The sequence below is a fragment of the Homo sapiens genome, chromosome 21, assembly GCF_000001405.40.
Source record: "Homo sapiens chromosome 21, GRCh38.p14 Primary Assembly".
In the NCBI taxonomy this organism is placed as follows: Eukaryota; Metazoa; Chordata; class Mammalia; order Primates; family Hominidae; genus Homo; species Homo sapiens.
In genome coordinates this window covers 43444661-43468160 of record NC_000021.9, presented here as the reverse complement: position 1 = coordinate 43468160, position 23500 = coordinate 43444661, and the positions used below count along the sequence as shown (strand labels likewise).

Below are 23500 nucleotides of genomic sequence, written 5' to 3'. Positions count from 1 at the left end.
GGTGTGTGGTGTGGGTGGTGTGTGTGGTGTGTGTGGTTTGTGGTGTGTGTGGTTTGTGGTGTGTGGTATGTGGTGTGTTGTGTGTGGTTTGTGGTATGGTGTGTGTGGTATGGTTGTGTGTGGTGTGGTGTGTGCTGTGTGTATGGTTTGTGGTGTGTGTGGTGTGTGTGGGTGTGGTGTGTGTGGTGTGTGTGTGGTGTAAGTGTGGTGTGTGTGGTGTGTGTGTGTGGTGTGTGGTGTGTGTGGTGTGTGGTGCGTGTGTGTGGTGTGTGGTGTGTGTGGTGTGTTTGGTGTGTGTGTGGTGTGTGGTGTGTATGTGGTGTGTGGTGTGTGTGGTGTGTGTGTGTGGTGTGCTGTGTAATGTGTGGTGTGTGGTTTGTGGTGTGGTGTGTGTGGTGTGTGGGTGTGTGGTGTGTGGTTTGTGGTGTGGTGTGTGTGGTGTGTGGGTGTGTGGTGTGTGGTTTGTGGTGTGGTGTGTGTGGATTGTGGCCCCCATCCCCATCCTTGCGGAAGGGCTCAGACCCCGGCCCCTGTGCATTTACTCTCTAGCTTCTGGGTGCCAAGCTCAGGCTAAGGGGATTTCTGACGGGCTGGACGTCTGGGCTTCAGCCCTGAAATAAGAGTTTTGAGAAGGAAGAGGGCAGCGCTGGAACCCTCACCCGTCTTTTAATGAAGGGATTTGGCTAAGAAGAAATGCCAAGTACTTCCGCAGGTCATCCTGAGGTCAGGATGTGGTCGGTGTGTCTGTCCCTGAGCAGTCAGACCTGATGGTGGCTGGAGCTCCGGAAAGCTCGGGACCCCTCTAGCGTCCTAGGCCTTCTGTTTTCCTTCCTGCTCCAGGGGGCAGGACTGGCAGATTCAAGGAAGCTTTCAAGAGGGGTTAGAAAGAAGGGGTGTGCTCCAATCTGCCAGCCTGATGTCCTTCATGGGACCACAGGCCAGGAACTGAGGTTCCCTGCGAGGGGTGGATGCTGCGTCTGTGAGCCTCCCCACCTTCTTGAAGGCAAGAGCGCCCAGAGGTGTTCGCTTTTGGTGTCGGCCTTTGAGCTGGAGCCTGGAGCTGTTTCTCTGAATTCCTTCTGCTTGTTTCCTTGTGCTCTTGCCTGGGAAGAATGAAATGAAAAGAAAATGCAAAGCCCAGAACCTGGCAGAGATGGGATGCCCCAGGCCGGAGTGGGCAGGGCGGCGCTCTCAGCCCACTCTCAGCACAAACGCTGCCCCGTTCACCTCTCCGCGCTTGTTGCCAGAGCGTGTCAAAGACCCCGAAGAATGAAATGACTTCGGAAGAGGAGGCCACACACCCGTGAAACAAGCCGGATCTGCAGCGGAACATTCTTTACGTGTTTTGGGACATTTCAAAGACTGATGGCGTGCTGCCTTTGTGATGTGTGATCTGAAGATTCCATCAAAGAAAGTGTGTCCTTTGTGTGAAAGTTGTGATTCTTGGCATCTTCGTGGTTTTGGGTCCTGAAAAAATACCACGAGGGCCCTCCCTTGTGGCCTCTGCAACCATAGGAATGCGGGTTTTGGAAGTGGCATTTCAGGCACGGCCAAGTAGGAAATTAGAAGAGACCCTAGGACTTCGATGTGGGTGGAAGTAACAGCAGGGTGGTCGGAGGGGGGGGGGTGCCTCGTTGGGGACCCTCCAGCACCCCACTGTGGTTTCTCTTGGGGGTCGCTTGGACAGACTGTTGGAGGGCTTTCGTCCCCAACTTTCTATTGGCAGGTCATTTTTCAAAGACAACCCGCAATGCAGCCCTGTGGTTCTGCCTGTTGAGAACCCAGCATTGAGACCCCAGGGTCGACAGACAGTCTGAGAAGACTGTAATTTGCAGAAGAATCTCAGGGTGATGCTGGCAGGGCAGGGGTCAGAGCTAGCTGGGGACCAGGGTTGGCTGGGCACACCGTCTTGGTGGCTGGTAGTCGCAGCTCATGGAAGTCTGCCAGGGCGCGTAGCCTTGGACCTACAAGGGCAGGGTTCTAGAAGGGTGGTCTCCCAGCTTTTGTGAAAACCCTCCTTTAACAATCAAAAGTTTGAGTGCACACTCCCGATACATGTACACACATTGATTTTTTTTTTTTTTTTTTTTGAGGCGGAGTCTCACTCTGTCACGCAGGCTGGAGTGCAGTGGCGCGATCTTGGCTCACTGCAACCTCTGCCTCCTGGGTTCAAGTGATTCTCCTGCCTCCCTCCTGAGTAGCTGGAGTTACAGGCACACACCACCTTGCCCAGCTAATTGGTGTATTTTTAGTAAAGACGGGGGTTTCACCATGTTGACCAGGCTGGTCTCAAACTCCTGACCTCAGGTGATCCGCCCGCCTCAGCCTCCCAAAGTGCTGGGATTATAGGTGTGAGCCATTACGCCTAGCCTGATACATTGATTTTTTAACACTTGTCAAATGGACTAGCTAATAGTAAAATATTACATAGATTATAGAATATGGGCATTTTAAATACTTTTAAAAGATGAGATTTTGAAAGGACAGTATTAATATTTTCCTCCTGCGCCTCCCTGGGGCCTGTGGTCCTCCCTTTGTTTTTGACCCCTGGGCTAGAGTTAGAAGACAGGAAAGAGTTTGGCCTCACTGTAAGGACAGGCTTGTTTTTGTGATTATTGTTAATTTTTGGCCATATACCTTTAACTTTTTATCATACATTTTTTCTAAACATCAAGAACTTGAGAGGGAGCAGTATCATGGCAGCCCCATCTGACCTATAAGCCTTCTTCCCTCCCCCGATCCACTGCCCCTTACCCCTCCTCTCCCTGGAGTCTTTTAAAGCAATCCCTGACCTTATTTCATCAGAGAAATACCTCAGTGCGTGGCTGTACAGAATAGGGACTCTTCCAAAAAAAATAACTGTGCTACCGTTATCACACCTAAAACACGACCCTTGAATTCTTTGTGATAATCTGCTAGCAGTGTTGAAATTTCCCTGGTTGTCTCCTGTCTTTTCAGAGTTGGTTTGTTTGAGTACGAAGTCCAAGGCTCTCTGTGACTCTGAAGTCCCTCCGGAATGCCCAGAGCTTCCGTCCCCCCCACCCCCCCCCAACACACACACATCACTCATCGTTTATCTGTTGAAGAAACCTGGTCCTTTGTTTGTCCTGTAGAATTTCCGACACTCTGGGTTCTGCTGGCTGTCTCTGTAGTGTCGTCTACCATGTTCCTCTGTCCCCCAAATCCTGTGGCTCTGACGATGATGGTGAGGTGGTGGAGACGCCCTCACAGCTGGGCCACCCTCCCGTCGGGAGACACGTTTTGTCAGTTGCTTCCTCTGGAGTCCTTGTGAGTCAGACTCCTGAGTCAGGACCACCACCGTCAAGGTTGCCACCGCCGCCTCCTGACACGCGCCACCAGGCTCCGCGCTCATGGCCTGGCCTGGCATCTCACCAGGCTTTTCAATGGACTAGAGTGCGGGGCTGCTCTGCCTGTGGCAAGGGTTGTCCTGCTGCTGGGCACAGGCCCAGAGAGGAAGTGGCAGAAGCTGGGCATGGGATGCTGGTCCTTGAAGGAGTGTGTGGGGGCCACTGGGTTGAACGCAGCCCGCTGCAGCCCTGTGACCTTGAGTGAGTCCCTTTGTGGCTGGGTGGGAGGACACCAAGGCACAGACTGAGGACAGGCCCTTTCCCGGGCTCTCGGCTGGCCTGGTTATCACCAACAGGACCTCGCAGGCCCTTCCCCTCCACGGGCCCCAAGCCCCATCTGTAAGAAGGGGCAGCCCAGCTTGTTTCAGTGAATCCAAGAGAAACACTAGTTTTTGTCCTAGAGGAGAGGCCTGGCATGTCCCTTCGCACTAGTGATCTGGGAGGGAGTGGAGCTGACGCCAAGACCCCACGAAACCACCTTCTTTCCCTCTGTACCTGGAAAGGGCTTGGCTCCCACCACCTTTGGTGGGAACAGCCATTCAGAGCATTTTGCAAGGCCTCATTCTTTCCTGGAATCCCGGTGGAGAACCAGCTGGCTGAAGGAATGATCTGGAGAAAAGAGTTGTAGGAATGTGTGTGTCTGCCTAGAAAATGAATTGACTCTGAAAAATGGGCCGTAGGCCAGAAATAGCAGCTCTCCTGCCCTGGTCACTGCTGTTAGGAGGACAGTGTGGCATGTCCTTTCACTCTTCGAGCACCTTTGGCTGCTAGGACTGGTGGGGGCCCCCTCTACAGGAGGTCGTCGTCCCTCTGGGCCCACCGCTGGGCACGGAGCTCCCGTGGGCAGGTGGAGTGGACACGGTGCCTCTTAGGACTTGGGGTCCTGATCAGCTAGCCGGCAATCCCCCGCGGCAAAGTCCACCCCTCACTGAAAGCCAAAAGCACTGCTTGATGGGCAGGCCTGGCTACGGGAGCCGTAGTCATCACACACCCAGTAAATCACGCTCCTGGCACCTCCACACAGAGTGGCGATTTGTCAAAGCAAATGCAAGCAAATACCCACCCACTGCCGGCCTGGCAGGCTCCCCAGGAGTCGGATAGCTGGGGAGAGCCTGGACACACTGGCAGCTCTGGGAGCCCGGGGCACAGACTGCTCAGGGCAGGTCGCCCCTACCCCAGGAGGGGGCTGTGTCTGCAGGGGCCCAGAAGGAGACTCAGAGAGGCAGCTGGAAACCCACAAAACTAGACTTGTTCAGAAAATGGCCAAGCCCTTGGCCTAATTATTCTCCTTTTTTCTTTTAAGTTAAAAGACTACTTTTTAGAGCAGTTTTCATTTTACCGATACATCGATCAGAGAGTACGGAGCTTCCCACATTGCCTCCCGCACCCCATAGCAGGCAGAGGCACCAGCCAGGCGCCATCCTTTACAAGCTGTTTCAGCAAAATGTCCCTGGTGAGCTAAGTTCTTTCTGTATAGAAAACATGCGGTCCCCGCAGAGGGGATTGCTGGGGGTTCACACACTGAAGGGGGCGCCCCTTCCTTCCCCGTCCATGGTGGGCGCATGCAGGCCAGGAGCTGCGTCCCTCCCCGAGACGGGGAGGGGGACGCTCGCCCCCTGACCCCACCGTGGAGTAGCCCCCTGGTGGCCATGCAGGGCCCACAGGGGCTCTGTTCAGTCGGCCGCTGGGCAAGGCAGGACCGAAGATCTAGCAGGGTCAGCAGGTCCTGGAGGGCAGACAGGGTCTCAGGCCTGGCTGGTGCACAGCCCTGCCTCCAGAGCAAAGGGAACACCCCGGGAGCAGTGTGAGGCCAAGCCGGAGGTGGAGGTGCCGCAGCCCTGCAGGGCTGAGAATACAAGCATCACTAACCCAGTGTTTTCACAGGCTTCAGCCATCTTTTTTTTTTAGTTTTTTAGTTTTTGTTTTTTTTGCTTTTTTTTTTTTTGAGACAGAGTCTTGCTCTGTTGGCCGGGCTGGAGTTCAGTGGTGTGATCTCGGCTCACTGTAACCTCTGCCTCCGGGGTTCAAGTGATTCTCCTGCCTCACCCTCCCAAGTAGCTGGGATTACAGGCATCCACAACCATGCCAGGCTAATTTTAATATTTTTAGTAGAGACGGGGTTTCACCATGTTGGCCAGGCTGGTCTCGAACTCCTGACCTTGTGATCTGCCCACCTTGACCTCCCAAAGTTCTGGGATTACAGGCGTGAGCCACTGCACCCGGCCTTCAGTCATCTTTAAAATGCTTTTTTTCCTCTTTTGATTCAGGGTCTTAATGATTAAGTCCAGGCACTCCAAGGACGATTAAATATTTAAACAGCAGCTTCCCTTTGAAGGTCAGCCCAGAGTGTGGGGTGTGTGAGACGGCCAGGCGCACAGTGTGGGATGCCGTTGCTGGCGGGGGCGCGGGCCCATGGGGGACGGGACAGGTTCGGACGTGGGGAGGGCAAGGGGGCCCAGGAGGGTTCCCACTCTGCAGATGGCTGGCCTGCCTCTCTCTAAGAGCTGGCTCTACACTTGCTTCCACCCCAGGGAAGGAAATGACCGCAGAAGGGAGTGCACCGTGGGGGCAGGAGGTGCTGCGGCCAATGGGCAGTGCTGGGAGATGAAACCAACAGCGGCGATTGCCCCAGAAAGAACTTGGCGCTGCTAAGGCAATGGCGGCCCGAAAGAGGCCCCTGACGCATGAGGAGCGGCCGCCGTCTCCAGCCCCAGGCCTCCCTCCCCTGTGTTTCCCGCAGCCCCCTCTGGAGTCTCTCCCCCGCCCCGCACGTGTAGGGAGACCCCGGGAAAGTGGGCCGGTTATAATTGCAAAAAATAAACCGTCAGTAGCCACAATATCTTATAAACGTAAAAGTAATCTGAAAACCTACTTCAGTTAGAGAAAGGGCGTTTGAATATTTCCTGTTTAAGACACAGACCCCCTGAGAAGATGTATAAAGGACTTGGGCTGGGTGTGGTGGCTCACACTGCCCACACCATGACCTTGGACCCCCGGCCTCCGGAACTGAGAGGCGCCGAACGCCTGCTGTTCAAGCTGCACCGTGATGGGCACTTGGTTCTGTCTGCCCCAGGAAAATGAGCCCAGCGCTCTCCCCAAACTCCTTTGTCCTGAACTTCTTTCCAGAGCCCTCAGCCCTAATGGGTGGTCCCCTAGGGTCCTCAGCCTTCAGACTCTAAATTCCCGTTGGAAACCCACAGGCAGTAGGGCCACGCCCAGGCACTCAGCCGCTGTGCTGCTCCCACGGGGGGCCCAGCAAACAGCCAGAGGCAGGCCCGGGGAGAGTTCCAGGGGGCTGGGAGACAGGTGGGAAACCTGCCACTGGCGGAGCGGTTGGTGGAGGGGTTGGAGGAGGGGCCGACAGGGAAACACGGTCCACGCCTCTGTCTGGGGGCTGTCACCTCCAGGGCTTTGAGCCTCACCAGCGTTCCGCCGCATGGCTTGGAAGGTGTTGCTTTTCCTCCAGGGAGCTCAGGCCTCCGCAACATGAGGACACTGCGACCCGGAAGCACTCTGTGCCGTCTGAGCTGCCCGCGATCCAGTCCCTAAGAGGGACCATCGGCAGGCGGCTTCCTGGCTCTTGGGGTCCGCACAGGCCTGTGGTAGCCCTGTGAGTGTCGGCTCCTGCATAGAACCCTGCCTGACTTCCCAGGAAGAGGGTGCTGCCTCCTGGGGACTCTCAGCCAGGTGGGGACCACTGACTGGGTGGGGCGGCCACGCTGGCCCCATTGCTCCAGCAGGGATGTGGAACGGTGCCAGCGCTGCCCGGCCGCTTCCTCCAGGAGGCTGGGTGGCTCCCCCACTGCCGTGCTGCTGACCCAGCCCCTCGCTCACCCTCATTCTTCCACAGGGGCGGCCAGGACCGGAGGCCCCGTCTCCAGAGTGGTGGGTGGGAAGAAGGGAGAGGGCCGAGGGTCTGCAGGGTGGGCCTGGGGAGTCGAGCTAGGTGTGCGTGCAGGTGCCTCACCTGCCGGCCCTGCCCTGTCCACAGGAGGAGGCCATGAGAACCGTCAAGAAGTTCATGGACTCAGGAGGACGTCGTGAGCAGTGCTGAGGTCATGGAATGTGGGCTGGGACCTTGTGTTTGGTGACATCCTGTAAGTACTCGGCTCGCTCAAGCTAACTGCCCGGCTGGGATCACCGCTCTAGGAGGACTCAAGAGTTCAGATGAGTGGCCCAGGGGCCCGTCAGTGCTGTGCACCTCTCCCCCCATGGGTGGGGGAGGAGCCTGGGGACTTGGCCAGTCCTGGAGGAGCCCTGAGACCAGGCCCTGTGGTGGGCACCACGGCACGGGGAGGTGCCTGGAGGGCTGGAGCCCACTTGGGGGGCCATGGTCAGTCAGGGCTGCAGAAGCAGAGAAATGCGGGATGCCCATGCTGGCTGGGACTCGCCCACTGCCCTGCACATGGCGAGTGAGGGAGAGAGGCAAGGCACCTTTCCAGGGGTGCATGGGAGGCTGCGGTCAAAGGTCCTGCACACCCGCATGCGTGCTCACATCTGTAGCTGCAGACACTGACCCCCAGAGACCCCCGAGCTCATGTGGGGCTGGTGTAGGCGTGGGGTGGACGCTGGGGCAGTGTGGGCTCCTCCTCCTCCTCCATGCGCGTGACGGGGTGGGGGTGGCCCCTCCCCTTGCCCTGGGAGCTCCGGCCCCCTCCCCACCCTCCCTGTGGCCCCAGTAGACAGAGCCCTGGCCCCTGCCTCGGGCCAGGTTTGGCAGAGGGGGCCCTGGCTGGAAACTGGAGGCAGATGGAGGGGAGCTGGGGTTGCGGGCTGGCCGTGTCCCCTAACCCCTACACAGCCCAGCTCTGCTCCTGCTCCGCCTGGGTGTTCTGCAGGCTGGGGTGGAGGTGCTCCAGGACTGCCCCACAGCCCAGGGCCACACACCCCTGGAGCGATCCCTATCTCTGTCTGCGCCCTGGCCTCCTTCCTGCCAAGACCCTGACTGAGTCAGTAGGCTTGACTTTCATAAACTGGCCAACAAGATTGAGACCACACTTGGAGTGGAAGATGGGGCCGTCTTAAGCCCTTGCCCCCTGCACGGGTCAGCCTGTGGCCAACGTCCTGGGCCGAGCCTCCTCCTCTTGCTCCACGCTCTTCCCACCCTGAGAGGGGCCTGGTCTGGGTGGGTCTCCTGGGACCCCCAGTGTTCGAACATGACCTGAAAAGCAGAAATGGAGGCTGAAGCCTTGGCAAGGAGGCCAGCACTTCCCAATCTCACCTTCCACAGCTGATGTGCAGGGCCGGGGGAGTGTTGGTAATCCTCCCAGGACACACGTCTGCATTTAAGGGTGTGCCTGACATGAAAGGAAATTTATTCAATGATCTTTGCTAAAGACCGGAAGGGGACTACTCAGGACCAGTGCGGTGGGTGCTGGGACCAGGGCAGTGGGATTTTGCAGTGGTGGAGAGAGATTTAGGCTCCACTCTGAATATGGCTCCAGCGAGTGGGATTTGATAGCCCAGGAGCAGAGTGGGGTCCTCGGATGGAACATCACTAAGAACAAACAGCAGGGGTGGGAGGGTTCTGGCTGAAGGGAGGCGGGGTCATCCGTCATCACCTGGGTGCCGGAGGACGAGCATGCTGCCCTGACGAGGATGATCAGATACGGGGCGGGGCAGTTCTGGCTGAAGTCACTTAGCAGTGTTCTTGCTAAAACCGGATTTTGCAAGGAAGTGTGCAGGTGGCCTAGAAGGCTCAAGGGCCTGATAGAGTTTGGCCAAGCAAAGAATCTCGTCACTGAGAATTAGAATCAAGGGCAGGTGGCTAAATAGTGCCTTGTGGATTCTCTCCGGCTTTTGCGGCCCCTCCCTCCACATCCTGCTCTGGGTAGCCCCTATCCTGCAGCCATGACCCAGATTCCTGAAGAGGGGATGACTATACAGGGGCCTGGATGCTGGGTGCCGGCCTCAGGGGCGGGAGGCACCGGGAGAGGCCTGGCCGGAGAGCCGCCGGGACCCAGGTCAGGTCAGGACCCAGTGTGTAGCGGAGCTTGGGCTCATGAGGTCAGAGCTGGAGCCACTGCACATCGTCTCCCAGGGCCGGGGCTCCCAGAGGACATGCAGTGTCTGCAGTTTTCTGGGGTGCCCCCGTCCTCTGCATGGCACTCTGCGTGTTGGGGGCCTATTGCGAGCTGCTCATCCTGGCTTCTTGGGAGCAGTGTGGCCTAAGCAAGGGAGGCTGCCCAGGACCGGCACCTGTGGGGCGGGGCTGGTCGCAGGGTCTCGGTCCCTGAGGGCTGATTCCTGCTGAATGCTTCAATGGCCAAGGGTGGATCCCTCTCCTTCCAGCCTGAGGCTGTTTCAGGAAGAAACAGTCAGGCCTCGGCAGGTTTCCCTGCCCAAGGGGAGAGTCTGAGGAGGGGCTGACTCGGCAGGTGGAGCAGGGGGCCACTTTCATCGAGTTTGTGTTCAGAACTCACTCCAGGGTCCTTTTCTTTTGGGGCCAGGCAGGCAGCACCATGTGGGACATTATTAGCAAGGAGAGGAGGGGCCCAGGAGAGCTCACAGGGCGTTTTGGGAGCTCCGTAGATAGGCAGGTCCTGAGGACTTTTGGAAAGGATAGAACAAGGTCCCGGGCAGCTTTGTGGTGGTTGAGAGCGAGGGAGGAGGTGGCCTCCCTGAGCGTGGATGGCTGGATGCATGCCCCAGACCCAGGGGCAGAGGCTGAGAAGGGAAGTCGGGGGCCCAGGGACCACACTTGGCAGGGTGGAGGGGGCAGGGGGAGCCACTTGCTGGGGAAACTTCACCGGATGATCTGGGCTGAGGACGCGCGAGTGTGGAAGAAATGGTACCTCCCCCATGCCAGATGCTGCCCACCACCGGCACAGGGTCAGAGTTGGGGTCAGCGGGGCAGCCGTGTGCCCCCAGTGGGAGCTTGGAGGTCACGGAGGAAATGCGAGACCAGATGCAGGCAGGGGAGTCCTCCGGAGCCTGCAGGAGGGGGCCGCTGGCTCAGGGGCACCGGGAGACCCCCACATGGACAGGGTGGAAAGGGCTTTCTTCAAAGCCAGGATCTTGTCTCCATCACAGCGTCCCAGCAACGCATTGGGAGTGCTTGCTGCCAGGAGGCTCCCCGGTCCCGCAGCAGCCCCTCAGCGGCTGCCCTCCAAGGAAGGGGCGCACAGACACTCCAAGGCTCCACAGCGCGTGGGCCAGGGGCCGGATCTACCCCTGGGGCAGTGGGACTGAGCGTGAGCCCAGCGCAGCCCCTCTGACTGCGTCATTGTTAGGGGCCTTCTCGGAGCTAGCAGACCTAGAACCAGGCCTAGGGGGTGGGGGCGTGCCTGGATGTGCACTGGGGGGGTGTCTGAACCCTTAGTTAGGACTGCGGGCCCTCCTTTCCACTTCCTTCAGTTCCTGGGGTCTGGGGCATCCTAGCCATGCGTGGGGCCTCCCTGCTGGGATTGGAGACCCCCTGACAGCTGGGGCTGGTCCCAGCATCTTCGCTCTTCCCCCAGGAGGACTTGGACGCAGGGTCTTCTCTGCTCCCCGTCACACAGAGGGTGGCACACCCGATGGGAACTCTCATTTATCACCAAACCAAAAGATGGAGAAACTGACAGAGAAGGGCTGCAAGCAGCTACGGCAGGGCGGTGTGTGGAAGCAGATGGGATGGGCAGATGGAGGCGGGGGCCAGCATCGCTGCCTTCTTGCCCCTCCCAGAGGACCCCAGGTCCCCAGCTCGGGCGCCCCACCCAGACTGGTAACGCCTGCGTCTGCTGTTTGGCACCGGGAGATGAATCACTTGCTTTTCAAATTAGAATCTTCCTTGCTGTCAGAAATGTTTCTTCTCTACAAGGAAATGGAGGTGAAATTTTTATATGGGAAGGGTAGCTCCCTTGGCGAATTGCAGGGCAGCGGAGGGCGGGTTCGGGGAGCCGAGTGCAGCCCGAGGTGCAGCTTTCAGGCTGGGAGGAAGCAGCTGCTTCCGGCTCCTCGGGACACGAGACGGGGACAGCGTGTGCTCGGCGGGTGGGAGTGACGCTGCCCACCTGCGGGCGTCTCCTGGGGAACGGGGTATGTGGGCTGTGTGGCGGTACGGAGCCCAGCGCTGATAGGAGGCTGCGCTGTCAGGCTGCATTTGACCATTTATGGAACCAGGCCATGAGGAGGCCCTGAATTAGAAAGGCATCCAGACCCAGGCTGCAGCCTCAGGCCGGGCACTGTCCCCTGCATGGCTCCGGCGTCCCAGCTTGGTGTTATCAGAACACAGAGGTTGAGGCTATGGCTCCATCTGGGCTGTTAGCACAGAGAAAAAATGCCCAAATGACTTGGTAAAGGGCGGGCTTCCTGGCCCCATGGCTGCACGGGTGGGCTGGCTTCCTGTGTTTGCTGAGATTTCTTTGAGGCAGCCCCACGGTAGAGTCCACTCTGGGTCCCGGCCCTGCGCTGGGCGCTGTGCTGAGCGCCTCTGTGGCTGCCATCATCTGATTTTCAGCGCACTCACAGGCAGGCGCCAGGCTTCACTTTAAAGATGGGGAAGCTGAGTCTCAGGGAAGTGGGGTCTGTGCCAGGGTCTTAGCAGGACTTCTGGGGTTGCTAGGACCCCCACGGGGCTGGGCTGGGGGTCTTCATGCCAGGCCCAATCCCTTTCCCATAGTTCCCCCCGCCGGCACTACCCAACATGTGGTCTCCGGTCATCTCGTGCTGTCTCCACCCCTCCCTCCGCTTCTCTGCTGGAGTTGTCCCTGTCACCTTACCCCAGAGCCTTCTTTGTTCTTACAGTCCCAGGCGGAGGGTACCTCGGAGCACACTCTGCAGCCTCCGGCTCTCCCTCCTAAGTCCACCTGCCCGGCCGATTGGGCTGTGTGGTCACTGTCCTCAAGACCTTATGTGCCATGAGGGCTCAGAGCCCTGAGCCTCAGCACAGGAAGTGCCACCCAGGCAGCCAACACCTGCTCAGCGGGCGGATGGCCTTGCCGACTCGGCTTTGCTCCCGGGAGCCTCCTGGAGAAGAAGCCACAGGGAGACGGACAGCCCTGGGCGGCTCCAGCTTGCCAGCTCCACATCCAAGGTCCTCCTTCTGGGGTGGGGTTACAATCTGTTCAAAGCATATGCCCAGAATAACATTTTTGAAAGTCTTTAAAAATGGGGTAAAGCTGACGTACCACGAAAGACACAAATCTTATCTCGTGCTCAGGTCTTTGCGTGTCTGCGCCCGTGTAACCGCCGTGCGTGTCAGTGAGTCCCTCCAAGAGCACGCCAGAACCACAGAGAACCCCTGGTCCCCCCCAGGGACTCCCCCGAGTCATGACCCCCAGAGGTGACCTCTCCTGTGATCTCTGACTTCCCAGCCTGTGGGGGTCTTGGGGACTGTGTTCTCCCTGCTGTTAGAGTACACAGGCCCTTTCTTTTCATGGCTGTGCAGGGAGGGAGCGGGAGACACCACGGGTTGTTCCTTCTGCCGAGGGACACTGGTGACTTCAGGTTGTCTTTCTATGGCTTTCGTGCTGGCTCTGGTGGGACCTGCGCTCAGCAGCAGACACTGGCCCTGGGGGTTGTGTGAAGCTTTGCTGCTATTCCCCACAGGGTGGGGGGGGGCCAGTTACCCTCCCCCATAGCTGTGGGGACTCCCGGGACCCTTGTCGTCAGCCTTTGCCATCTCAGCTCACCTGGCGGGGGTAGAATAACGTTTTGCAGGAAAGTTACAGACTTCCTGTCAGCTCAACTCTGCAGAAGAGGAGTTTGGTGGGAAGTTTTTCCAGAGTCTTCCCTCGGCCTGGGGCACAATGTCACTGAAATGCTGGAGCAATCAGGGGCCAGCCCTCAAATGGAGTCCTCGCCTCCCCACCGAAAGGCCAGGCCCGTTCAGAGAAGACCCCGTGGACATGTGGGGCGTGCAGGCTAGGCGGGGTGGGGCTGAGTGGCCAGGTGTCAGGCAGGGCCTTTGGGAACAGAAGGTGGGTCCCTAGGGAAGTGGCGGTCACCGTCAGCCTGGCGAGCAGTGGCCCTTGTGGAAAGGGGGCTTCGGACGTGCTCGGGAGATGCAGAACCCCGTCTGTGGGAGAGCTCCTGAGAGTTAGGGGCCAGGCTCAGCTCCCAAGGCTGCCCTGACAGAGGCCACACGCTGGGGAGCTAAGATGCTGAGCCTCTCACAGCTCTAGAGACTGGAATTGGGGATCAGGGCATCCTCAGGCCCCTGCCCACTCTGGAGGCCCGAGGAGAGGGTCCTCCCTGCCTCTTCCAGCTCCTGGTGACCCCGGGCGTCCCTCTGCGTGCAGCTGTGTGGCTCCAGTCTCTGCCTCCATTGAAACGTGGCTGTCCTCCCTGCATCTGTGGGGCTGACTTCCCTCTTCTTACAAGGATGCCGTCATTGGATGAGGGCCCACCATACTCCAGTGTGAGCTCACCCTAACTTGATTACATCAGCAAAGACCCTATTTCCAAATAAGGTCACATTCTGAGGTTCTGAGTTGACATGAGTTTTTAGGGGGGCCTGCTCAGCCCAGGACAGTATGTGGTTTAAGAAAGGGATTTCCCCAGAATGATCTGCCTGCCGTCTGCATCCAGCCGCAGACCCTGGTTCCTGCCGTCTGGTCAGGGCTGGCCCTGGGTGAGCTGGAACCCTCTGTCCCTGCACCCCCAGCACTCCCACCCAAAATGAACTTTGGGGACAGACATCACAGCTTAGGGCACCCGTGGGGTCTTCAGAGGCTGAGCTGGTACCCAGCTCGTTTCCTCCCTCACAGATGCAGCCAGGCAGTGAGCAGCCGACGGGTGCCTCAGTGTCCCATGCAGCACAGCCACGCAGAGCAGGCGAGGGCCAGCCCCCAGGAAGCCGCTTGTGCCTGCCCGCAGTGGGACAAACCTCGGCACTGAGTGTGTCCACAGATGCCAACGCCCCTCAGACGGAGTGAGTTGATGACTGTTAAATGCAACAATATAAATGGCCTTGTATTTTGTATATCTTTCCTTTTTTGTTTTATTTTTCTAGCTGATCTTTTTTACTCTATTTTGCAAAAGTTAGCAGTCTGCAGGGTGCTTCCCCCTGGCTGGCTGGAGAAGCCCCATGTGCCGAGCCTGGTCCGAGGTCCTCTGAGCCCCCACGTCGCCTCGCTAAGTTGCTGTGCCCTGACCCCAGTGTGGGAGGGGCCATCAGAGCACATGTGCCTTCTACTTGGTGAGGGCGGCATTATCTTGGGGATGCAACTGCAATAATCAAGAAACTTAGAAATATTTCGGATGAATTAACTGAGAACGCAGTGCACTCACTGGCATGGCCACCTGCCCTCACCTGGGGCGTGCCTCCGGCCCTGGCACTGCTCTGCCCCACCCAGTTGGTGGAATCATGGAAGCAGAAGAGGGGTGGTCCCTGACTCGTGTTTGTGCTGTGGAGACGCCCGCAAAGGCCAGGACACTTGCATAGAATGCTCCCGGCACTCTCCCGTCTCCAGGGCTGTGTGTAAGAGTCAGTGACAGAACTGTACGCAGCGTGCAAGAGACAACTGCCATCACTGCCACCTTGAAGGGCAGCCTGGGCACATACTGTCGAGGGACAAGGAACTTGCTGACAGCAGAAGGCTTCATGCCACATGCTTCGGTCTGTATACAGTCCAAATCCGGCAAAGTGGCACGCAACACTGTCCAGGGGTTCACTGCACATGGCAAAGCTGTCCTAGAGGGTAAGGATGACAAATGCCTGTGCAGGAGGGAGGTCGCCTCTGGGAACCCTGGGGGAAGCAGGAGGGATGTGTTCCAGCTTTCCTGGGTGCCTGTCTGGCCTCTCTCTGCCCAGAGCCCGCCCCCACAGCAGCAGACACTGGACGGGGTCCCAGGCCAAGGAGCACTCCACTCAGTAGGGTGTGGGGGCTTCCCTCCTTTCAGGAGCTCATAGAGTGAGGGGGCCCAGGGATCAGCATGCAGCTTTCACCCCCAGCCCCATCTGGGACCAGCGTGCACTTTCATCCCCAGCCGCCGTCTCTGCTTCTGGCCCTGCCGGGACTTGGGGCTGCCTGCGCATTAAATGGCCCAGGTCTGTGTCCTGGTTACTCAAGCCTGAGAGAGCTGCCACCCTTGTAGGTCATGGCTGCAGGAAATCAGGCTGTCCCCCAGGTCTAGGTGGGTCTGCCAAAATGCCCCGAGACGTGAGCAGGGCCGTGAGGTCAGCCCTGGGTGGCGCCGCTCCTCCTGCTCGTGTGCCCAGATCAATCGGCTGCCCCCGCTGGAAGGGGACGCTGTCCCTGCTGGGGTCCGGAGCCCACTTCGGGCTCCCTCTCTAACCAACAGTGGCTCCCTGGAGACTCTACATGCCCCACCCTTGCCCTCTGCTCCACTGCTGGGACCACCTTTGCTCTCAAGGACTGTGGACACCGGTGAAGAGGGGCACCCGGTCGATGCCAGCTGGACTCCGTCCACCCCTCGAGAGCCAGGGCGTTGGGCTCACTGTCTTCCCCAGAGGAAGCCTCGCTGGGGCCACGGGAGGCTCGGGCCTCTGTTCCTCCGGCACATTCTGGCACGGTGGCAGGGGAGGCTCCTTAGGAGGATGAGGGGACGGAGAAGGCCCCAGGGGTCTCCTGCAGGCAGCAGTGTTTGCTCTGCAGGGCCTGGAGGTTCAGGCAGGGAGGTGGAGGCGACTACATGTGGACGCAGGTTAAAGGACAAGGATTCTGAACATGCCGGGGCTGGGTCCCGGCACCATCAGAGCCAAGTCACCGGCTCCCTCGGGGAGGAGAGAGCTGTGAGGGCTGAGTCACCGGTGGGCTGGAGTGGAGGGGAGGATAGGGCGACAGGTGAGGACACTTCAGGCCGGGCAGGCTTCCAGCGTGCGGAAGGGGCCGGTGGGTCAGATGGGGGGTAGGGTGGAGGCACTGGCTGCGTGGCTTCAGCAGGCATCACCCTGGAATGTGCTGGAATAACAAGCAGAGGCGGCGTGGAGCAGGATGGAGGGCAGAAGTGCAGAGATAGGAGTGTGTGATCCTGGGTGGAGGCGCTGACGCCTGGCCGGCGGAGACGACACTTCTGGAGCCTCGCTGAGGCTGGATCCCAGGCTCAAGGGGCGGGCCCACCACGGGGGACCCCAGGTCACAACAAGGGGCAGCTCAGAGCAGGGTGGGGGCCCCCAGGCCACCCAGGAGTGGAAGTGGCTCGTGATGCTGTGGGTGCTGCGCTGTGAGGGGCTCCTGGTCCTGCCGGCCTCCCAGCTACACGTGGCCCACTCGCCTCCACAGCCGCCAAGCCTCCCTTGGGGCTCCTGCTCTCGGGGCTGGGCTGGAGGGGCCTGGGAGTCCCAGCGGGCGAGAAAGCCGGGCCCAGGGGAGAGCAGCATGCTGGGTCAGGAGACCGGTCGGGGGCTCGGCCGGGCCTGGAGTCCAGCGGGCAGGGGCTGGCAGGGAGTGGGCAGGGTGCCCGCCACCCCGAGGGCCACCAGGGAAGACCATCTGGATTGGGTTTGCGGTGGAGGCTCGCCAGCAGTGTTTTGACTCCAGGCAGGTTTCAGAGTGTGAACGGCCCCCGTGTCATCTGCTGGGTCCCTCTGCCAGAGGGTTTCTGAAAGACAGATGGCCACACGCGGAAGCTGTCGGCGGCGTGTGGGCCCAGCGATGACGGGGGTGCGAATCCTGCTCTTCCTCCCTCGGCAGCCAGCGGTCTCTCAGTCCTCTCCCGTGTTCTCACTGTACCCTAGAAAGCAAAGCCCGAGCTCCTCAGCATGCTGTGGGGGCGAGTGGGCAGAGCCAGGCGTCCTGCGGGCACACATGGCTGTCCCTGTGCCTCCATGAGCGGGGAGGGGCGCTGGCGGGAGCCCCCACACAGGCAGCCTCCCCACCTGGGACCCCACACAGGCGGCCTCCCCACCTGGGACCCCACCCAGGCCTCCTGACCTCATGGGGCTGGGCTTGGCTACAGGAGGGCGCTTTGCGTGGAACCTGAACCTGGCCTGGCTTTGCCTCCGTGGTTTTCGGCACAGGGGGAGGGGCCGGCTGAATTCCTCCGCAGGATCCAAGGGGCTGTGCAGACACGGGCCGTGACTGCTGGGTCCTCCGTGGAGAAAATCAATACCAAGTTGGAGTGAGTCCCCAGGGTTCATGTATCACTCTGCACCCGGAAGGAACTTTCTGGAAATGCAATACATCCCTGCAAAGTGGGACTCAGGGCTCTTTCCTGTCACTGTGCAGAAGGCAAGGTCTCAAAGGGAGAAGATCGGAAGGCTGGGAGCCCGGGAGCCCGCCTGGGAGCCTGCCTGGGCCTGGGTCTCCCCTCAGGGCTGAGGAGCCCCGGGCCCAGCGCCCACGGTCGCTGTAGCCAAGCTCACAGGCCCCACCTCCTGCCTGGCCATGCTTTTGCCCACGTGGGCTGCAGCCAGGGCCTGGTCGCCACCCTCCCCAATGTGGCCCTGAGGCCAGTCCTGTGCTGGCCTGTATTGACACGCCGGCTCACTCAAATCGATTCTTGTCAAAGCCGTCGTGGAAAGAACAGCTTTCAAAATAGAGCCCAAGAAGACGTGGGCTTCCACTGTGAGAGCCTGGGTGCTGGCGGGCTGCCCAGGGTGCCTCCTCTCTCTCCAGCCGGGCGTGGAGCTCCACGAGCAGCTCCTGGCTGTTGCAGGGCTGTGAGATGTTCTCGTTTGTTCAGCCGGAAGGTCTAGAGAAAGGGGCTGAGGGGGACGTCTGAGCACCCAGCCTTGAGGAGGAGGCCAGGACTGAGGCCTGGGTTCATTCCTAATGTGTCCCGAGGACAAGCACATGGAACGGGCTGTGTTCTGGCTGCAGACCGGCCTGGGAGCGCCCTCGCTGGCCTGGGAACGGGCAGGCTGCGGGGCAGAGGGCAATGGACCTTCTGCCTAGGTGCGAGGGGCTGGTGTGCAGCTCCGCGCCCCGGGGACCCCATCCCAGCCCCTCAGCCAGCCCCTCTGCAGTGGCAGTTTTCTCTTCCTGCCAAGACCTTGGACGGAGTCTGCACCCATCCCTGCACGTGGCAGAGACAAAACCCACAATCAGATACACAGGAAGGGCCGGGGTCCTGCCACCTGCACGTTAGACCCTGAGGGTGACGTTTGCTCTTTGATCCTCTGGTCCTTTGCGCTCCGGGGGCCTCTGCCTGGCATGGAAATGTTGATTCTTCCCTGTCTGCCTAAGACAGTGTGATTTTCAGACTAGCAGAGGAGGAAATGTCCGGCGGCTGTCCTGTGGGGGTCCACCCACCCTCGAGACTGTCATGGGCCGCGTGTCTCCCCCGGAGGCTGTCCTATCCTATCGGGCTCTACCCACCCTCAATACTGTTATGAGCCACGTGTCTCCCCCCTGGGCGGCTGTCCTATCCTATGGGGGTCCACCCACCCTCGATACTGTTAGGGGCCACGTGTCTCCCCACTGGGCGGCTGTCCTATCCTATGAGGGCCCACCCACCCTTGATACTGTTAGGGGCCGTGTGTCTCCCCCAGATCTGTATGCTGCAGCCCTAAGCCCCAATGCCTCCGCAAGGGACCTTACTTGGAGATGGGGTCCTCACAGAGGTGGTTAAGGTAACATGAGGCTGGTGGGGTGGCCCTGGCCCAATCTGCCTGGTGTCCTTATACGGAGAGGAGATGAGGACACAGACCCACACAGAGGGATGGCCTTGTGAGGACAGTAGCAGGAGACAGAGCCAAGGAGAGAGGCCTCAGGAGCCAGCGGAGCCGCACCCTGACCCTGGATTCCACCTCCTGAATGGTGAGAGAGCCATTCAGGCTCTCTCTGTTGAAGCCCCCAGGCTGTGGGACTTGTTACAGTGACCCGGGAACTCACACGATAGTCACAGCACATTACAGCTGACAAAGTGAGCTCCTTCCGTGGAGACGCTCCTCCCAGCATTCCGGTGAGGTGGGGGCTGGCACGTCACCCCCACTCTGGATGAAGAGGCCGCATCAGGCGGGATGGGCTTGGCTACGCTGCAGTCACAAACAGCCCCACAGCTCACCATGGGCTACAGCACAAGTTCATTGCCTGCACTTCGGGGTGGGCACCCACTTGCCCCTGTTCCAGCCGCTGTGCTTGGCGTGGCTCCCTCCTCACCAGGACCTGTGACTGTGACGCATCAGAGGAGGAGGTGCTAGGTGGAGACAACGTGGAGACTGAGGGTGAGACTGGAGGAGGGGAAGCCCCCGTTTCTTATTGAGAGCCCTACGGGGTCAGGCCAAGGAGCGCAGGTGGCTGTGCGGGAAGGAGCTGCACTCTGCTAGGTGTGGGGGCTTCCCACCTGCGCTCCCAGGTGAGCCGTGGCCATGCCACCAGGCCCCTCAACCCTGTGCCTGCCATGCGGCCCTCTCGAAGGACCTCTGGATATGTCTGGGGAGTCCTGCTCAGCCTGGCCCCAGTGGAGTCTCTGCAGCAAATAAGCACACAGCAGCAGCAGTCACTGCACCTGTGGCCCTGAGAGGCTGTGAGCACACAACATCCTGGCTGGAAAGAGGGGAGGCCTGGGGTCCGGGCAGCTTGCGGGGCCAGCTGTGCACCCAGTGACATCCTCATCACCACCCACGCCGAGCACAGCAGAGACCCCGAGCCGAGGGCAGAAGGAGCACACGGTCACAGGAAACCTTTCCTTCCAGTTCTCTGTGCCTGCACCCAGCACTTCGTGTCTAGGGATGAATTTAATCTGCACGGTGACCTCTGAGGTGGGCACTGCCACTGTCCCAGCTCTATAGACACGGAGTGTGGCGGGCAACATAGGAAACAGCAAGCCTTTGAGCGGAGGGGGGTCTGGCTGTGGCTTCCCCTCTTTGTTGAATGGTGTCCCCACAGAAAGATCTGTCTGTGTCCCAGAACCTGTAAAGATGACCTTATTTGAAAAAAGGGTCTTTGCAGATATAATCAGGTCAAGACCTGGCAGCGTGATCGTCCTGGGCTGTCAGGCTGGACCACAGCGCCTGGTGTGAAGGACAAGCGCCTTCATGAAGAGAAGAGAAAACCCAGGGAGAGCCACATGGAGAGGGGCCGAGGCCGTGGGAGGGCCAGGCAGGGACTGGAGGGAGGCAGCCACAAGCCAAGGAACGCCTGGGCCACCAGAAGCTGCCAGAGACAAGGAAGATCCCCCTCTAGCGCCTCTGGAGGGAGTGCAGCCCTGCCCACAGCTTAATTTGGGGCTTCTGGTCCCCAGAGCTGTAAGGGAATCAGTATCTGTTGTTGAGGCCACCTGGCTTGTTGCAAGAGCCCCAGGACACGCGCCCACTTGGCCACGTTGCCCAGGCGGTTGTGGTCGAGTGCCCAGGGTTCCGGCCCCAGCGCCTGCACTCCTGACCACACAGGAGGTTGACGCCTGCCGGGAAGTCTGCTCACGGCACCCTCTCTCTTTCCGGATTCCAGTGCTTCCTGCGGTGCTCTGTGCAAAGGAGTGCTGCCGGCTCCCATCCCCAGCCTCTCAGGGCTGGGAGGTGACATCCAGCAGCAAGCAGGGGCCCCGCTGTCTGCGACAGCGTGGCTGAGAGTTGGTGCCGGCCAGGTGTGTTGGCTCATGCCTGTAATCCCAGCGCTTTGGGAGGCTAAGGTGGGAGGATGGCTTGAACCCAGGAGTTCAAGGCTACAATGAGCTATGCTTGCACCACTGCACTCCAGCCTGGGCGAATGTGAGACCGTTTCTATAAAATACAATAGAGAGACGGCGAGTCGGTGCCACACGATTGGCCCTTGGTGTGTTTTCCCTGCCCATCAGAGCTACCCCAAGGAACTGAGTGAGCAAATGTGTGCCTGTCTGCTCACCTGCTTAAGATGCAAAGTGTCGAAAGCAGGGCCCCACCCAGCATCTTCCCCTCCCGCAGGTGCCTGGCACGCTGGGCTCCTGCCGCCACAAACCGACGTGACTTGGTGAACGTAAGTGAGCACTGGCTGACCGGATCATGTTTAAAGGAATCCTTTAGGGGAACCACTCTGCAAAGAAAGTAACCCTCAGTAACTCGCTTTTAGTTATATGTGGACTTCACCTTATCCGGCTTCCATAAGGTGGATTTGCAGAAAGCCGGGGCGGTGGCGCGGCGGGAGGCGTGGGAGCTGGTGGGATTCTCCGCAGGTGCTGCTGGGCCGGGCAGTGGCTCCGGTGGGGGGCGCTGTGTCTCCAGGCCCTGACCTGGCTCCCGCTGGGCCGGCTGTGGCAGGGAAGAGCCATTTTTCATGGCAGGGGGGTGGCTTCACACCGGCCCAAGTGCCAGTATGTTCCACAGTTCTTTTTGCTGACGGAATCAGCCATCAGCTCAGCCCAGGTGACTTCCAACCTAATCTAAACAAGGTGGGGTCGGTGGACTCAGCTCTCACAAAGAAAGACACGGTGACGTCGGGCGTGGCCACGTGAGGCAGGGGTGGGGAGAGGCTGACAGCCTCTGCCTCTCCCTCCACCGGCACCGCCCGCCCCAAGCTCACGTGGCCCTTGCGGACGTCATTCCTTCACTGGGTCGTGCCAAGCAGCAGGGGTGCGGCTGTCCCAGTCCTCACGCCCTGCCCTCCTCGGGCAGCCTGGGTGTCCGCTCCTGCACTCAGAGCACTCCCCGCCAGGCACCCCCCGCCAGGCACCCCCCATCCACACCCAAAGGCAGGCCCAGGCACATGGCTTGGGTGACAGAGTCTGTTTGGGGCGATGCCTGCAAGCCCTGTGGGAAATCGGGGTGGAGGGAGCGGGCGGGGCCGAGCGGCCGCGGGAACGAGCAGTGCCCTGCCTCCAAGGGAGCCCCGGGTCCTCTCCCCACTGGCTGGCCCTGTCGTGGACATGAGCTCTCAGGTTTCTGACGGGCTGAGCGTAGTGGCTGAGGGCTCCCTCAGGCAGGGGCAGGTGGGCTTGGGCCAAAGAGAAACCTCTTCCCCGATAGGGGACACAGCAGACAGCCACCAGGAGCCGGAGTGGAGGGGCCAGGCTGTGCTCAGCCTCACGACACACTGGCGTTCGCTCAAGCTCATGGCTGGCGTTTAGGAGGGCACCGCGAGCACCTACTGAGCTGGGATGAGGTCGGAGGCTGCCCCTGCCCAGTGAGATGAATGCCCCGGGGCCATGTGGGCTCTTGGCCGGGTGGTGCCAGGATGTGCCTGGATTTCAGAGTAGGTGGTCAGGGGTGGCCACCTGCTGGGAGTCTGGACCGTGGAGCCGGGGCGACTGGGCTTCAGCTTCAGTGGCTGCACAACATCCAAAAGCAGGGGGCCCTTGAGGACCCAGCCCTGCTCTCCGGGCAGTGGGCACTTGGCCCCAGCGCCCCCCCTTTCTCGGTGCGAGGCCGAGCATCTCCCAAGTCTGGTGCCCACCCGGCTGCCTTGGCCTCTGCCCACTCCAAGCCAGCTCTTACTCCGCCACAGGCCCGGCCCCTCTCACTTCCAGCCTGGGCCCCACTGTCACTTCCCATCATCTCCCTCCTGGGTGACAGCCTTGGGAAGGGTCTCTGGCCTAGACTCTGATCCCAGGACACGGCCCTTCCTGCTCCTTGGTGGCCTTCCTGGGCCTCCAAGTCCGCGACCATACCCATGACCTGCTGCCCGCTGCTGGTGGGCCTCAGATTTCCCGGAAAGAGGGAAGAGGCTCAGACCAGCCCATAGCAGCTTTCCAGGTGAGGCCGTGATCATGAGCAGTCCAGGGTCCGCTGCCTGGTGGGGGCGGGACCGCAGGCTGGGCAGGGACAGCAGGCAGGGGTCCCTCCCCCCACACAGCCCCCCCTCCTGTGCGGGGCTCTGGGGTCCTGCCTTACAGGGGTCCTGTGTCACCTCAGTGGGGAGCAGGAGATGGGCCCGGGGCTCGGGGCTGCCATCTCCACTGCATGGTCTGGGGCTGAGCTGTCGTGGAGCAACTCGGGCCACATGTTTGTAATTTGGGGACAATTCTGTCTTCCTGTAATTTTATTGTATTTAGTAAATGCGGTTTAATTTTCTTCCTGTATAGACTTCTCAAATAACTACAAATCAAAAAAGAGCTTGCAGTCCCTTCAGGGGCAACCGTGGCCTCCAAGGACCCAACAGCAGGCCCGTGGCACACACTCATGCCCGCTCCCACTCCCAGACACTTCACGCCTGCACTCACGCCTCACAGCCACACACACGGGCACACCCACAGTGGGCACGCTCACACCCCAGTCACGCACACACACACATCCACACACCTCCCTCTGCTGCTTCCTCCCTCAAGTGCCCGCACCCCCATGCGTCCCCGTACAGTCCCAGTCAGGGCCGCTCCCCTGCACCCCCCGTCAT

The 23500-nt window shown here is 60.0% G+C and overlaps 2 protein-coding genes and 3 long non-coding RNA genes across 10 annotated transcripts in view, besides 7 other annotated features; 2 read left to right on the top strand and 3 right to left on the bottom strand.

The window, feature by feature from the left end:
• LINC00313 (long intergenic non-protein coding RNA 313) overlaps positions 1–6067 on the top strand; it is a 16130-nt gene extending 10063 nt beyond the window's left edge. Inside the window, exon 4 of the long non-coding RNA NR_026863.1 lies at positions 5900–6067. This is a non-coding gene — a long non-coding RNA (long intergenic non-protein coding RNA 313). The remainder of the gene's footprint in view (positions 1–5899) is intronic.
• Positions 1–23189, top strand: part of HSF2BP (heat shock transcription factor 2 binding protein) — a 214517-nt gene extending 191328 nt beyond the window's left edge. The window contains exons 10-11 of one of the 4 annotated variants that reach the window (XR_007067782.1): positions 7360–7465; positions 10829–23189. Coding sequence is in view for 1 of the 4 variants with exons in the window: in XM_017028269.2 (XP_016883758.1) it covers positions 7360–7372 (13 nt within the window). In the remaining 3 variants the exon portion in view is untranslated. Of the gene's footprint in view, positions 1–7359 lie in introns of all 4 variants that reach the window. The other 3 variants (XR_007067781.1, XR_007067780.1, XM_017028269.2) reach the window with 3 other exon arrangements.
• Positions 652–3075, bottom strand: LOC102723380 (uncharacterized). The gene is made up of 2 exons (XR_430386.3): positions 2814–3075; positions 652–1103 (listed from the first exon to the last, which is right to left on the bottom strand). It is a non-coding gene; the product is annotated as an uncharacterized LOC102723380 (long non-coding RNA).
• Positions 4523–5520: an enhancer, noted in NCBI's record as "H3K27ac-H3K4me1 hESC enhancer chr21:44882521-44883518 (GRCh37/hg19 assembly coordinates)". NCBI's record gives its function as "activates a minimal SCP1, AML or CMV promoter by ChIP-STARR-seq in primed H9 embryonic stem cells {active_cell/tissue: H9 hESC(primed)}" and the evidence as "EXISTENCE:reporter gene assay evidence [ECO:0000049][PMID:30033119]".
• Positions 11009–11219: a silencer, noted in NCBI's record as "fragment chr21:44876822-44877032 (GRCh37/hg19 assembly coordinates)". NCBI's record gives its function as "represses an EF-1alpha promoter that drives an FKBP-Casp9 reporter gene in an ReSE screen in K562 erythroleukemia cells {active_cell/tissue: K562}" and the evidence as "EXISTENCE:reporter gene assay evidence [ECO:0000049][PMID:32094911]".
• Positions 11519–12518: an enhancer, noted in NCBI's record as "H3K27ac-H3K4me1 hESC enhancer chr21:44875523-44876522 (GRCh37/hg19 assembly coordinates)". NCBI's record gives its function as "activates a minimal SCP1, AML or CMV promoter by ChIP-STARR-seq in primed H9 embryonic stem cells {active_cell/tissue: H9 hESC(primed)}" and the evidence as "EXISTENCE:reporter gene assay evidence [ECO:0000049][PMID:30033119]".
• Positions 12618–13593: an enhancer, noted in NCBI's record as "H3K4me1 hESC enhancer chr21:44874448-44875423 (GRCh37/hg19 assembly coordinates)". NCBI's record gives its function as "activates a minimal SCP1, AML or CMV promoter by ChIP-STARR-seq in primed H9 embryonic stem cells {active_cell/tissue: H9 hESC(primed)}" and the evidence as "EXISTENCE:reporter gene assay evidence [ECO:0000049][PMID:30033119]".
• LOC124900467 (uncharacterized) lies at positions 14259–18051 on the bottom strand. Of its 3 annotated transcripts, XM_047441059.1 has the most exons (3): positions 17240–18051; positions 15656–16988; positions 14259–15040 (listed from the first exon to the last, which is right to left on the bottom strand). In XM_047441059.1, exon 1 carries the CDS (start codon positions 18049–18051, stop codon positions 17566–17568), a length of 486 nt encoding a protein of 161 aa, XP_047297015.1. In that variant the 3' UTR covers positions 14259–15040; positions 15656–16988; positions 17240–17565. The 3 variants fall into 3 exon arrangements, with proteins under 3 accessions (XP_047297015.1, XP_047297016.1, XP_047297014.1); XM_047441060.1 differs by having other exon boundaries at positions 14275–16988; positions 17189–18051; XM_047441058.1 differs by having other exon boundaries at positions 14275–16988.
• LINC00319 (long intergenic non-protein coding RNA 319) lies at positions 14259–21560 on the bottom strand. The gene is made up of 5 exons (NR_152722.1): positions 21262–21560; positions 19091–19394; positions 17240–17422; positions 15656–16988; positions 14259–15040 (listed from the first exon to the last, which is right to left on the bottom strand). It is a non-coding gene; the product is annotated as a long intergenic non-protein coding RNA 319 (long non-coding RNA).
• Positions 20149–20768: an enhancer, noted in NCBI's record as "H3K27ac hESC enhancer chr21:44867273-44867892 (GRCh37/hg19 assembly coordinates)". NCBI's record gives its function as "activates a minimal SCP1, AML or CMV promoter by ChIP-STARR-seq in primed H9 embryonic stem cells {active_cell/tissue: H9 hESC(primed)}" and the evidence as "EXISTENCE:reporter gene assay evidence [ECO:0000049][PMID:30033119]".
• Positions 21389–22008: an enhancer, noted in NCBI's record as "H3K27ac-H3K4me1 hESC enhancer chr21:44866033-44866652 (GRCh37/hg19 assembly coordinates)". NCBI's record gives its function as "activates a minimal SCP1, AML or CMV promoter by ChIP-STARR-seq in naive H9 embryonic stem cells {active_cell/tissue: H9 hESC(naive)}" and the evidence as "EXISTENCE:reporter gene assay evidence [ECO:0000049][PMID:30033119]".
• Positions 22009–22628: an enhancer, noted in NCBI's record as "H3K27ac-H3K4me1 hESC enhancer chr21:44865413-44866032 (GRCh37/hg19 assembly coordinates)". NCBI's record gives its function as "activates a minimal SCP1, AML or CMV promoter by ChIP-STARR-seq in naive H9 embryonic stem cells {active_cell/tissue: H9 hESC(naive)}" and the evidence as "EXISTENCE:reporter gene assay evidence [ECO:0000049][PMID:30033119]".
• Positions 23190–23500: the final 311 nt, after the last annotated feature.

Coding starts and splice junctions, on each gene's coding strand:
- LOC124900467 (XM_047441059.1), bottom strand. CDS start 18,051: ATGTGCTTGTCCTCGGGACACATTAGGAATGAACCCAGGCCTCAGTCC.